The sequence below is a fragment of the Homo sapiens genome, chromosome 2, assembly GCF_000001405.40.
Source record: "Homo sapiens chromosome 2, GRCh38.p14 Primary Assembly".
In the NCBI taxonomy this organism is placed as follows: Eukaryota; Metazoa; Chordata; class Mammalia; order Primates; family Hominidae; genus Homo; species Homo sapiens.
Genome location: NC_000002.12, coordinates 20,098,932 through 20,112,535, shown reverse-complemented (window position 1 = coordinate 20,112,535; position 13,604 = coordinate 20,098,932). Strand labels below are relative to the sequence as shown.

At 48.4% G+C, this 13,604-nt stretch overlaps 1 long non-coding RNA gene across 1 annotated transcript in view, besides 1 other annotated feature; it reads right to left on the bottom strand.

Moving 5' to 3' along the window:
* The window catches only part of LAPTM4A-DT (LAPTM4A divergent transcript), a 65,743-nt gene that overhangs the window by 5,344 nt on the left and 46,795 nt on the right, over window positions 1–13,604 (bottom strand). The window lies entirely within an intron of this gene.
* Window positions 5,434–5,728: an enhancer, noted in NCBI's record as "tiled region #8017; HepG2 Activating non-DNase unmatched - State 13:Ctcf, and K562 Activating non-DNase unmatched - State 13:Ctcf". NCBI's record gives its function as "activates a minimal TATA promoter and a strong SV40 promoter by Sharpr-MPRA in HepG2 and K562 cells {active_cell/tissue: HepG2 | K562}" and the evidence as "EXISTENCE:reporter gene assay evidence [ECO:0000049][PMID:27701403]".

Sequence of the window (13,604 nt, the reverse complement as noted above, 5' to 3'; positions counted from 1 at the left end):
ACCTGAGAATACCGGCCGGGTGCGGTGGCTCACACCAGTAATCCTAGCACTTTGGAAGGCTGAGGCGGGTGGATCACTTGAGGTCAGGAGTTCGAGAGCAGCCTGGCCAACATGGGGAAACCCCGTCTCTACCAAAAATACAAAAATTAGCCAGGCATGGTGGTGCGTACCTGTAATCCCAGCTAATTGGGAGGCTGAGACAGGAGAATCACTTGAACCCAGGAGGCAGAGGTTGCAGTGAACCGAGATCGCACCATTGCACTCCAACCTGGGGGACAAGAGTGAAACTCCATCTCAAAAAAAAACAAAACAAAACAAAACTGAGAATAAAGCTTTTGGTATTGTACTTGCCATACAGTAAATCCTCCATAAATGGTGGCAGTTGTTAGCATTTCTGTAGTTCTGGATATTTTGGGTAGAGTCACCTGCCCAGGAGTTGGGGAAATGTCTGGATTTCATTACTGCACTGTACTGAGAGTTCACAGGGATGATTCACTAGGTAGAGGAACGCTCTGTAGATCAGAAGGGCCCACAGTGGGATGAGCTTCCGTAGGGTCAGGAGAGGCAGCCCAGAGGAAGTGAACTCACATCCGAGGGCAGCCACAGTAGCCCCCAACTCAAGGGCCTAAGCCCTGCCCCCGCCTTGAGCCCTCTGCTCACTTGTAGCCTCACTCCACAGCCCCAGTGAGAAGAATGCACGCCTGAGAGTGTCAGCATCACAGACGTGGTGCAGGAGGGCTCTGCTCTGTGGCTTTTGTGGAAGGTCAGCCCTGCCCCTGACTGCACAGGCAAGGTGGGCCCAGAATGGCATCAGGTTGGCCTGCATGGGAGGGTCTTGATACCAGGTTGAGGAGGCTGTACTTTCTGCAGCAGGACAGGAGCTGGAGGTGACAGAAGCAGAAGAAGCTAGCAGAGGGCTTGCTCGGGGAGCCAGGGAGAGATGGATGGGACCAGCTACACAGGAGGACTTCCCACCATCCCAGGGCCCGTGCTCCACATCTTCAGAGCCACCCTTTAGCAGGGCTTGCTAGGCTGGGCCAGCACTGTATTGAGGCTAGCACAGAGCATCAGCCTGCCTCGAGGCTGGGCCTAGGCCCCCTGGGAGCCAGGCCCCGGCACACTTGTGCTGTCTGGCAGGAAAACTCTCAACTGTTTTAACTGGATTTCCAGAGCTCTCAGGCTTGGGATGGGGACCTCAGGGAGAGAGGCTGGGGGAAGAACCAGGACATTTCCTGGGGCTTCGGCTGACTCAGGAGCTTCAAAAGCAAAATTGCTTCCAGTTTTTGTTTGCATAAAAGAAGCCGGTGGGAGGAGGAAGTAAGATCTGTCTGCTTGTGGACAAGGTCAAAGACCTGTAAGATTTCCAGGGGATGGAACCCCTTCTCAGGTGACCAGGCATTCCCACTATATGCCCTGGCGGCTTTGCTGGTCACAGCATGGCGGCAAATTACATGTTATTAGAGCAGTCCGGATAATGAAGTCACTGCAGACCTAATCCTATTTATTTCAATGACAGCTTTGGCAGAGCAGTAAATCTTGCTGCCAACCGTGTCTCTTGTGGCCAGTTCCCTGAAGGAACTACCATCAGATATGACTACAGGGAGGGGTCCTTGTTAGAGCCTACATTCGCTATTCGTCACCTTTTTCCTCCAAATGGCAAGTTCTCCCAGGAGAGCCTGCCCATGTGGCAGATTGTACTTTCAAAGTATATCTCATCTCACATGCTCTCCCTGACACTCTTCCCATTGAGTCCAGGAGAGGTATATGTCGCCTCTCCTTGTACCTTAGTGGAAGAAACTTTATGACTACCTTGATGAGTAGAAGTCATTGCAAAAGAGACACTATGTGACTTCCACAGCTAGGTCAGAAAAATGCCATGCACTTCTACCCAGTGATCTTGTATCCCTTGCTCTTGGAATCCAGCCACCATGCTGTGAGGAAGCCCAAGCCACACAGAGAGGCCACGGGCAGCTGTTCTGGCTGATGATTCCCCATTAGGGGAATCAGCACCAGCCACCAGACATGTGAATGAGGAGACTGTCCATATGCCTCCAACCCCAGACTGCAACTTCATGAAAGACCCTGCGTGAGAAGCACTCAGCTGAGGCCTGCCAGCCCCCAGAGCTGTGAGAGGTAATAAAATGATTATAGTTGTTTTAAGCCACTGTGATTTGGGGTGATTGGTTACATAGCAATAGATCACCAGAATACCCATGAACAGTGATAATGGACAGCCCTTGCCTCTCAGGCATCTCTTATTGAAAAATGGAAGTCCAATCCTTCCTTCCGAACTTGCCTTCTCAGGTTCTGAAACTTCCGACTATCAAGTGATTCAATCTCTCAAAGTGAGATTTGAAAGTGGGACTTCCAGGCCGGGCGCAGTGGCTCATGCCTGTAATCCTAGCACTTTGGGAGGCCGAGGCGGGCGGATCACAAGGTCAGGAGTGACCAATATGGTCACTCCTGAACCAGCCTGACCAATATGGTGAAAACCCGTCTCTACCAAAAATACAAAAATTAGCTGGGCATGGTGGCTTACATCTGTAGTCCCAGCTACTCTGGAGGCGGAGGCAGGAGAATCGCTTGAACCCAGGAGGCAGAGCTTGCAGTGAGCCGAGATTGCGCCACTGCACTCCAGCCTGGGTGACAAAGTGAGACTCTGTCTCAAAAAAAAAAAAAAAAAAAAAGTGGGACTTCCAGTTGTCAGAAGCTGTCAGAACACTCTCCTACTCACTTTCTTAAGGAAGTTAATCTCTTTAACATTTTTACTAAGAAAGGCAGTTATGATGCAAATTATTATGGAAAGCTTATGACTCAAACACCAGGTAGACCCAGGTACCATTCCTGATTCTGCCAGTTTCTGGCACTCTTTCCTGAGATGAGTCACTTTGCTTCTCTGTGCTTCAGGAGTCTCAGCTACAAAATGGGAAAACTCACACTGATCTTCTAGGATGCTATGATAATTAGAGATTTTTTACAAACAGTATTATTCTTAAAAAAAAAAGGGAGGGGATTTGATACAGCTTATGAGCTTATGAAGATGATACATATAAACTGCTTTGTATTAGCAATAATAACTTATATTTGTCAAATGTCTACTAAGTGCCAGGCACTGTTTTAAGCACTTTGCACATGTTAACTTTTTTGGATGGTTATGACAACCTTGTGAATTAGATATTACTACTACATGCATTTTATAGATGGGGAAATCAAGGCACAGACAGGTTAAGTGACCTTCCCAAGGCTATACAGTAAGTAGCAGAGCTGGAATTTGAACCCAGGAAGTTTGATCCTAGAGCCCACTGTGACATACTGCATCTTGGTAAATGTTTAACTCTGGGTTCTGGGTGTGATGGAGTAACGCTCGGCCATCTCTTCCTGAAGAAGCGATCTGGAGCAATCTGGTGCTCAAACCAAAGTGCTATCAGTGGTAAGTAAGATCCCTAGCGCTGATGTGTGCTAATGGGAGAGATACAGTAGGGATGAAAGTCACACCCAGCAGCCCCAGGCTGCTATGGTGGTTACAGACCAGAGAAAAGGAGACATCTGAGGAAGGGGACATTTTGTAACATCAGGACAGTAGCATGCACCTGGAGCATTCAGAGGCCTGAGTTACTTGGACAGAGGCAGCGAGGGGAAGTGGAGCTGGTTGCAGAACTCTTGATACTGAGACCTGCCCTTTTACTCACTAGCCATGGGACCCTTGCTGAGTCACCTGCCCTCATCTCTGAAATGGCAATAACTTGTGCAACCTCCCAGATGAGAGCATGTAAACAAAGTGCCTGAAAAGCCAGAAATGGAAGCTACCAATAAGTTTTGGAGGAAAATTTACTTAAAATGAATAAGACACTTCCTTATCTTCTTCTTCTTCTTCTTCTTTTTTTTTTTTTGAGATGGAGTCTCGCTCTGTTGCCCAGGCTGGAGTGCTGTGGCGCGATCTCGGCTCACTGCAACCTCCACCTCCCGGGTTCATGTCATTCTCCTGCCTCAGCCTCCCAAGTAGCTGGGACTACAGGCGCACGCCGCCATGCCTGGCTAATTTTTTTTTTTTTTTTTTGTATTTTTAGTAGAGATGGGGTTTCACCCTGTTAGCCAGGATGGTCTCCATCTCCTGACCTCGTGATGAGCCCACCTCAGCCTCCCAAAGTGCTAGGATTACAGGCATGAGCCACCGCACCCGGCCCTCTTCTTTTTCTTCTTCTTCTTTTTTTTTTTTTGATGAGGTTTTGCTCTGTCGCCCAAGCTGGAGTGCAGTGGCACAATCACCGCTCACTGCAGCCTTGACCTCCCAGGCTCAAGAGATCCTCCTGCCTCAGACTCCCAAATAGCTGGGACTACAGGCATGTGCCACTACACCTGGCTAATGTTTTTGAGAGACCGGATGTTGCTATGTTGCCCAGGCTAGTCTCAAACGCCCTGGGCTCAAGCAATCCCCTGCCTCAGCCTCCTAAAGTGCTGGGATTTTAGGCATGAGGCACTGCATCTGGCCCTTATCTTCTTAAACAGAGAGTCTTGAACATCACTTAGCTTTTCTTCATGATTCAGCGTTAATCACTGTGCAGCGTTAATCACTGTGAACATCCATTCCCACACTGAGCTACAGAATGAGGAGGGGCTTAGAGGACACTGCCTTGTTGGGTTTGACTCTGCCCTGCACTGGATGACCCCAGGCTGCTGGGCTTCTGGAGGCCTCAGGCTACCCCTCGAAAGATGAACAGTCTCATCCCTCACTAAGACTATCACCTGTCACCTCTCAGCACTGTCAGAATGTTGGCCTAAAGCAGTTTAATGAGACTGATTTGTTGCTTCTAATCTTTTTTGTGTATTTACAAACCGGATGCCTGCATTTGTTAGAAATGTTCATAAAAACAGGGATTCCTGAGTACAGAGAACGGAGGGGTTCAGCTCAGGGTAAAGAGCATAAGCTTTCATGCATGGAGCTTGTGACATCCGTCTTGGCTGCTCAGGACCCTGTTTGCTCCATGGGTTTCAACCGCTCCAGACGGGGAATGTGTCACTGTAGCTGGTGATGGTGACCTGTTAGGGACTCTGTTTAGTTCTTTTTTTTTTTTTTTTTTTTTGAAACAGAGTCTCGCACTGTCTCCCAGGCCGGAGTGAGGTGGCGCCATCTCGGCCTCACTGCAACCTCTGCTTCCTGCGTTCAAGCGATTTTCCTGCCTCAGCCTCCGGAGTAGCTGGGACTATAGGCATGTACCACCATGCTCGGCTAATTTTTTGTATTTTTAGTAGAGACGGGGTTTCCCTGTGTTAGCCAGGATGGTCTCCATCTCCTGACTTCGTGATCTGCCAGCCTCGGCCTCCCAAAGTGCTGGGATTATAAGCGTGAGCCACCGCACCCGGCCCATAGTTCATTATTTTTACATTGATCTGTTTCTCTTCCTTCCTGATGTTTATTGTAACAGTAACTTCAGGGCAAACTCAGTGTCCTTCCCAGTGAGAGGTGACAACGTGCTAGCAGCCCTCACTCTTGGCGCTTCCTCGGCTTCGGCGTCCGCTCTGGCCGCACTGGAGGAGCCCTTCAGCCCGCCGCTGCGCTGTGGGGGCCCCTCTTTGGGGCTGGCCGAGGCCGGAGACGGCTCCCTCTGCTGGCGGGGAGGTGTGGAGGGAGAGGCGCGGGCGGGAGGAAGGGAGAGGCGCGGGCGGGAGCCGGGGCTGAACACGGTGCTTGCGGGCCTGCGCGGGTTCCAGGTGAGCGCCGGCTGGGCTTGATGGGAGGCTGAATCCCGTTCGTGGACCGCCGTTGCCTCTTCGCGGGATCGTTGGCCACAATAGCAGGTCTCCCTCTCTTTCTCGCTTCCCTTCTTTTCCTCGATTGTCTGGGACTAGCTCCCTGTGGGCTGCCGGAGTGCCGGGGTTTGGTGCTGCAAAGTCCAGCAGCGAGTCCCAGTGAGAGATGAAGCCGGCTGGGCTTCTGGGACAGGTGGGGACTTGGAGAACTTTTCTGTCTAGCTAAAGGTTTGTAAACACACCAATTAGCGCTCTGTGTCTAGTTAATCAGGTGGTGACTTGGAGAATTTTTGTGTCTAGCTAAAGGATTGTAAACGCACCAATCAGCACTCTGTGTCTAGCTAAAAGTTTGTAAACGCACCAATCAGCACTCTGTCAAAATGGACCAATCAGCTCTCTGTAAAATGGTCCAATCAGCAGGATGTGGGTGGGGCCAGATAAGGGAATAAAAGCAGGCCACCCGCGCTTGCAGCGGCAACTTACGTTGGTGTTTTTCCATGCTGTGGGTGCTTTGCTCTTTGGGAGAGCTCTTGCTGCTGCTGCTTACTTTTTGGGTCCTTGCTGCCTTTATGAGCTCTAACACTCACTGTGAAGGTCTGTAGCTTCACTCCTGAAGCCAGTGAGACCACGAACCCACCAGAAGGAAGAAATTGTGGACACGTCTGACCATCAGAAGGAACAAATTTGGGCCATATCATCTTTAAGTAAACGGTAGCACTCACCGTGAGGGTCCACAGCTTCATTCTTGAAGTCAGTGAGACCAAGGACCCACCAGAAGGAACCAATTCCGGACACACCAGGACACCACCTCTGTCTCTTTAGTCCCACATCCTCTATCCATGCCCTCGCCCCAACTTCTGACACAGCGTCTTTAGATTACCCATGCAGGCATTTTCTCAGTACCCCTATGTGTTCAGTGTGTGGCCATGCACTCAGTGGGGACTGCTAGGGTAGGCTCAGCCACAGCCCTGCCTTTCACGAGCTCAGTCTGGTTGAGGAGGCTAAGGCAATACCCAGAAACAGAATACAAATAGGATGGTGAGAAACAGAGGCTGGCCAAATCTATCCCAGTGTGATATGTGAGTGCCGTGGATGGTAAGGAGCAATAGCTACGGGCATGTTAGGAAAGGAGTTAAGGAGGACGCTTGCAGTGACAAAGGGTGGAGGGACAGCTAATACTTAGCAATGCTCCGGCTCCAAAAAATGCTAGCAGGTATGAGGAGACCCGGGCAAAGCCAGCCCTGGATCCCCTGAGAGCAATGAGGAGTGGGCAGGTTATGGAACATGGCTGGATCCCCTTGGGACTGGCTGATGGAGAGCCTGTGGGCCTCCCTCCAGGCGGCTGGGGCTAGGATTGGGGCTTGGGGATGGGTGGGGTGAAGAGCACCAGGAAACAAACAGCAGAAGGCATGTGAGTGGAGGAGGGCAGGAGGCTTGGGCAGTACCAGTCTCAGCTGTGGAGGGTGAGGGCGGGGGCTGAGACAAGTCATGGAGGGGGTGTCCAAGTTCCCCCAGGATCCCTGGAGTCCGCCCAGGCTAAGTTCAGCGATAGCTACTCTGGCCGAGCTGCAGACACTCAGGTTCTCCGTGGCTTTGGCTCTAGGTGACCCCTTACTCTGGCAGTTAGCAAAGTGAAATTGTAATGGGCACTTAGCAAAGTGAAACGTAAACAGAAAACGGGAAGCCTCTCAATTACCTTGAAATTGGTTTCAAGCCATGTTAACTGAGAACACACACTCCCTTCCTGTTAAACCTCATGCACACACATCACAACAAAAGGAAGTTCTTGTCCTTGCAAATTTGCAAGTGGCGGGGAGCATGCATGCTCAGGGAATGGCTGGGCATCCATTCCTTGCCCCACTCCCCCAACAAAGCAAGGTGCTTTGAGCATAGAGATAGATGTTCCAGGACATAGGGCCCTGGAAGAGCTTCAGGAGGTTCTTTGTGCATCCCCCAACTTTGTTGGAGCTCAGAGAATCAGCATATCGTCCATACCCATCGTGCCCCGATATGCCTGGCTCCCAGTGCTCTGAGGACTGGGCAGAGGGGCAAGACATTGCGCTTGGAAGGTTGGGGTCCTAATAAGAATTCTGGCAAGGGCAGGTCAGTGGAATCCTGGCTCTTGGTCCAGAGGCCCCAGGAGTGGAGCAGGACAACTGCGTGTCAACATTGCTTTGCACACACCCTTCAACTTCCATTGCATCCTCTCAGTAGATACCTGGCATCTCCACTTTGTTCACATGAAGCAAGAAGGGCCCAGAAGTGTGCAGCCACAGGTCACACACCTGCTAGGTGGCAGAACAGACTCCTTACAGCTTTTAGGGCCCAATATGATATAGAGGGGCCACTGGGGTGGAGGTATGGGGATGCCAATGGCAATTCTCACTCTTTCAAAATATGGCCAGGTGCAGTGGCTCAGGCCTGTAATCCCAGCACTTTGGGAGGCCGAGGTGGGCGGATCACCTGAGATGAGGAGTTCAAGACCAGCCTGGCCAACATGGTAGAACCCTATGTCTACTAAAAATATGAAAATTAGCTGGGTGTGGTGGCGCCCCTGTAATCCCAGCTACTTGGGAGGGTGAGGTAAAAGAATCACTTGAACCCGGGAGGTGGAGTTTGCAGTGAGCTGAGATTGCGCCACTGCACTCCAGCCTGGGTGACAGATGGAGACTCCATCTCAAAAAAAATAAAAATAAAAATAGAGACCCCTGTGTTTCAGAAACTATCAACAAGATGTGAGGGCCTCTCCATCCTGAATGTCTTTGGTTCTGCAGACTGCACTTCCCCATCTAGGTCCTGGGGAACACCCTCATCCCAAGGGTTCTGTCTCTTCCCAGAGAGAGGCACCCAGTGCCCCCAAGGCTCGATTGCACTGAGAGGTGGGTGGTCCAGCATTCAGCTGTAGACAGCTTTTCCCAAGATGTTGGAACCAGGCTCCATATCCTAATGAGACGCTTACCCTTTGATGCCTCTATTTTTCACTTGGCAGGATCATGCTATAACTGAAATTTCATAATCAGTAGCTTCTGCTTGTAACTTGACAGAACCTGACCTAAGAGATCCTTTAGTCCACCTAGTGGGTGACCTTGGCAACATCCCTAATACAACTGTTGCTCACTGTTTTAATTCAACCCAGTCATGGGATACTAGATGATAAAACTGCTCTATATTCTTTATTGATTAAATAAATGTCTGTACTATTGCTAATACTACATGCTGTACTTGGATAAATTCCTCTGGAAAAGTTGAGACTCATATACGCAAAGTTTAAAAGAAAAACAGGCCACATGGTTACAAGTCTCACCTAATTCCCCATAATCATTTCATTTATTCATTGGTTGCCTTTGGGTCTAGTTCATGACTCAAAACTACTACACCAATTGAGACTATTATTTTACTTGATATTTTCCTTTTACATTTTTATTTGTTACTTGTTAAATTTTTGCAGAAGTACAACTCCTAACAAATAATGCTGGCCTATACTTTGAGATGATAACAAATGCCTACAGAACAGATAAAACTGAAATTAACAATAGATTCTAGGTAGACTTAGCCTGAGGGTCACTCCCTCCAGAACTTAATTGCTCCAATGTGGCTGAAAGGGTTTTGACACTGACTCCTAGCTGCTAATCACAACTGGTCTTGGTGGGACCAGACCAAGCCAAACTGGGACAGGTCCCAGCACTGGGGGACAATCAAAATCTAACTACAGGAATATTGATCAGCAGTGCTTTTGGAGAAAGATCTTGATCAAAAGGGGGAAACGTGGAAGTTGTCAGAATCAGGATGGAGTTACTTATGTTAAAAACTCAGACAAATAGAGCTAGGGAAGCCCATGAAGGGAGGGTTGTCATGCACAAATACCTTATAACAACAACTATCACAAAAGACTCACCAACTTCACAATCTTGCATAAAGGCCAAAACAGCCTTACCAAAAAAATACTTCTGTATGAAAATCTGCCCATCAACTGCCTGTCGAACCTCAGACTGGTACCATCCCCCTCACCACCGTTGTCGTCGTCTTCTTCTTCTTCTTCTTCTTCTTCTTCTTCTTCTCCTTCTCCTTCTCCTTCTCCTTCTCCTTCTCCTTCTCCTTCTCCTTCTTTCTCCTTCTCCTTCTCCTTCTTCTTCTTTTTTCGTTTTTTTAGACAAGGTCTTGCTCTGTTGCCCAGGCAGAGTGTAGTGGTGTGATCATAGCTCACTACAGCCTTGAACTCCTGGGCTCAAGCAGTCCTCCTGTCTTAGCCTCCTGAGTGGCTGGGACCATCATACCAGACTAATTTTTAAAAATTTGTTTGTAGAGATGAGGTCTTATTATGTTCCCCAGGCTGGTCTTGAACTCCGGGGCTCAAGCAATCCTCCCACCTTGGCCTCCCAAAGTGCTGGGATTATTGGTGTGAGCCACCACACTCAGCTCACCATCCTTGTTACTAATCCTTGTAGCTAAGGACAATTGTCTCAAAACAATTATGTAATCCCACTTCTGACACCATTATGTCAAACTAAATAACAAATAGGAAGAATCCACAAAAGAAAATCATGTTTACTGAGGAATGGGCATTGCAATGGGAATATGAGTATCACAGTAAACTATATTCATATGCCCATGGCAATGTCTATTCCCAAATAAACATCATTTTCTTTTAGAATCTTCCTGTTATTTAGTTTGACAAGGAACACCTTTCTTTCTGCCATGCCCTGAGTGTGTGTCCATGGAAATGCCAAGAAAGCCTTGGGAAGTACTTGGCATGCTTTAAGGCGGAGCACAGAGAGGTCAGGCAGCATTTTATAAAGATCCTTCTGGCTGTCCCAATGGAGGCAAAGGGACAGGAATCAAGGAAAGGAGTTGGGGGCTGCTGTCAGAGTCCAGGAAGAGGTGAACCAATGTGTAGCCTCTGTCTTGACTTTAGGACCTCCTGAAGGAGTTCTTGGTACCCTAAGGGGCACCAGACCACTTTGAGAACTGTTGAATTCAGAATATGGTCATGTGAGCCACAGGTCCGGGTACAGATCTAGAATCTAAATGTTTTTTAAACAGAGGCTATCTTTGGCATTCGGGTTCTGTTTCTTTGTTCATCCGAAGAACCTGCATTGAGGTTTCAGGCTCCTGTGATGTTCAGCTGAATCAGGAGACAGTAACGGGAACCTTCCTAATCGTGTTAAGTAATTCATTCAATGTAGGCAGACAAACACAATTACAGACACTATTTTGTTTTCGTTTATAAGTCGCTTTCCAGCACAGAGACGTAAGCAGCATTATGGAACTTTAGAGCTAGCAGGGCTCTACGAATTTCAGTCCAACTCTCTTATTTTAAAGATGGAGAAGTTATAGCCCAGGTAGCCCAATGCAACCCAAGTTAATAAGCCTTGAGCACCTATGACGTGGCAAGTAAAATCAAGCAAAGTAAGATGCCAGTAACTGATGGATGGAATGTTGTTTTAGAAAAGGTGTCCAGGGAAAGTCTCTCTGAAAGGTGACTTTTGAGCAAAGGTCTGAAGGAAATGAGGAAGCAAGTCATGTAACATTTTGGGGAGAGGTTCCAGGCAGTAGAACAATAAGTGCAAAGGTCGTGAGGTCAGAGGATGCCTAGCATGTTGAAGAAACAGAAGGGAACCAGTGTGGCTGGCATTATGGGGCATGCAGAGTAGGGGTGGGAGTAGAAAGTGAAGTCAGAGAGGGGACAGGACAGATTTTGTAGGGCCTATAAGGCCACTCACTATGAGAACTTGAATTTTGTTCTGAGTGAGCTGAGATACGTTAGAGGGTTTTAAGCAGAGACATCCCATGATCTGACTTAGAGTTAATTTTGGTCACTACACGGAGAGTAGTCAGGGCTGGAGGGCTAGGGCAGAAGCCAGGAAATGAGTTACAATTTCCTGTAGTAATTACGACAACAGATGATGATGGCTGGGGCAAGGGCGATAGGAGAACAGAGATGATATGTAACTAGACAGAGTACAGATAAACACTGAAGGCAGTGTCTTGATGAAAGGGACTTGTCCTAGTCACACATAATCAGGACATGAAATAGCTGGGGTTAAGGCCTCAGGTCTCTTGAGTCCTTGGCCAGTGCCTCAGGGCCTTTCATATCTCTCAATGTCATCACAACTGGGAAGGTAGGTTCTATTAGTCCAGTTTTACTGATGAAGAAACTGAAGTTGAGAAAGAACAAAGAGAGCTTCCCAAGGTCACACAGCTGGTTAGTGGCTGTCTCAGGACCACACCAGTCGGACCCCAAAACCCCATTTGCCAGGGTATCACTACCGATCACCTCCTTCCCGTACACCTCAACCAACACTGTCATGGAATGAGGATGGCTGTGAACACGCCCCAAAGCCTCCTGCCCTAAAATGTACCCATTGGTGGCTCTTCCATTGGTCTTAGATCTCCATCACTAGAGATTTCTCTGCGGGGTGAGGCATTGAAGACCACTGTCGACTACGCAAAATGAGTGATTCCTCAAATCCCAACGAGCCACACAAGTGCCAAGGGAGCCCAGGAGGGTAAAGAGCAAGGGGGTCCAGGCCAAGCCCTCTCAGCAGTGGTTTTGGATGGCAAGAGTTGGATCAGGGACGGATTTGTTTCTTAGGACAAAGAAGACATTTTTCTCAGCTTTCTTGTTTTAGAGGAAAGAGTGGCTGTCCCCAGTTTGCTCAGGAGGTCGAGAGTAACCTGAAATGACAATGTTAGAGCTGCCGAGAGCAGTCTCTAGGCAGTGGCTGAGCAGGAAGATGGGTGAGTGATCTTCTGAAACGTGCTAGGCCAGCGAGAGATGGCTGGAATGCCTGCCTGGAACAGCTCACCCTCCTGCCTGTGATAGGCCTGCAGGTCAGGACCTCACCTGACAGAGTGAGGAGGGGGGTGTTTCCTCCCTTCTCCTGCGCACACAGCATTGCAGGAGCATGAACCCTGCCCGTCTCAGGCAATTTAGGTTCTTTGGATAGGCAAAAAAAAAAAAAAAAAAAAAAAAAAAAAAGGGACTTGGATGCTGAAGATAGACACTGAAACTTTCCCTTTTTTTGGTTCTAGATTTACACCCAGACTTGAGGCTCACATGACCATATCCTTTTTTTCTTTTCTTTTTTTTTTTTTTTGAGATGGAGTTTCGCTCTTGTTGCCCAGACTGGAGTGCAGTGGCACAATCTCGGCTCACTGTAATCTCCGCCTCCCAGGTTCAAGAGATTCTCCTGCCTCAGCCTCCAGAGTAGCTGGGATTATAGGCGCCCACCACCATGCCCGGCTTTTTTTTTTTTTTTTTTGTATTTTTAGTAGAGATGGAGTTTCAACATGTTGGCCAGGCTGATCTCGAACTCCTGACCTCAGGTGATCCACCCACCTCGGCCTCCCAAAGTACTGGGATGACAGGCGTGAGCCACCGTGCCCGATGTCACATGACCATATTCTTAATTCAGCAGTGCTCAAAGTGGTCTGGGGCTGCTTGGGCATTCCCACGACTTTCAAGACAGAGCGTCCCAAGATCAAACTTGTTTTCATAACAATATAAACTGATTGCTATTCAGATTGGAAAAAATAAAAATATGTAACCATACAAACACGTTATTTGCCCTTTCCACTTTCATTCTGTCTCAGGTGTACAGCGGAGTATTCCAGAGGCTACATGATATGATACGGCGAGAGATTGCGTTTAGAAGCAAATGTGAAAATCAGTTGTCTTCTACTAATCCAGGTCTTAAAGGGAGGGTTGCAAAAGTATAAAATAATGCCACTTTCTGTACATTAAAAAAAAACTAGTTATTTTTATTAAAATGTTATACTGGCTGGGCGCAGTGGCTCACATCTGTAATCCCAGCACTTTGGGAAGCTGAGGCGAGTGGATCACCTGAGGTCAGGAG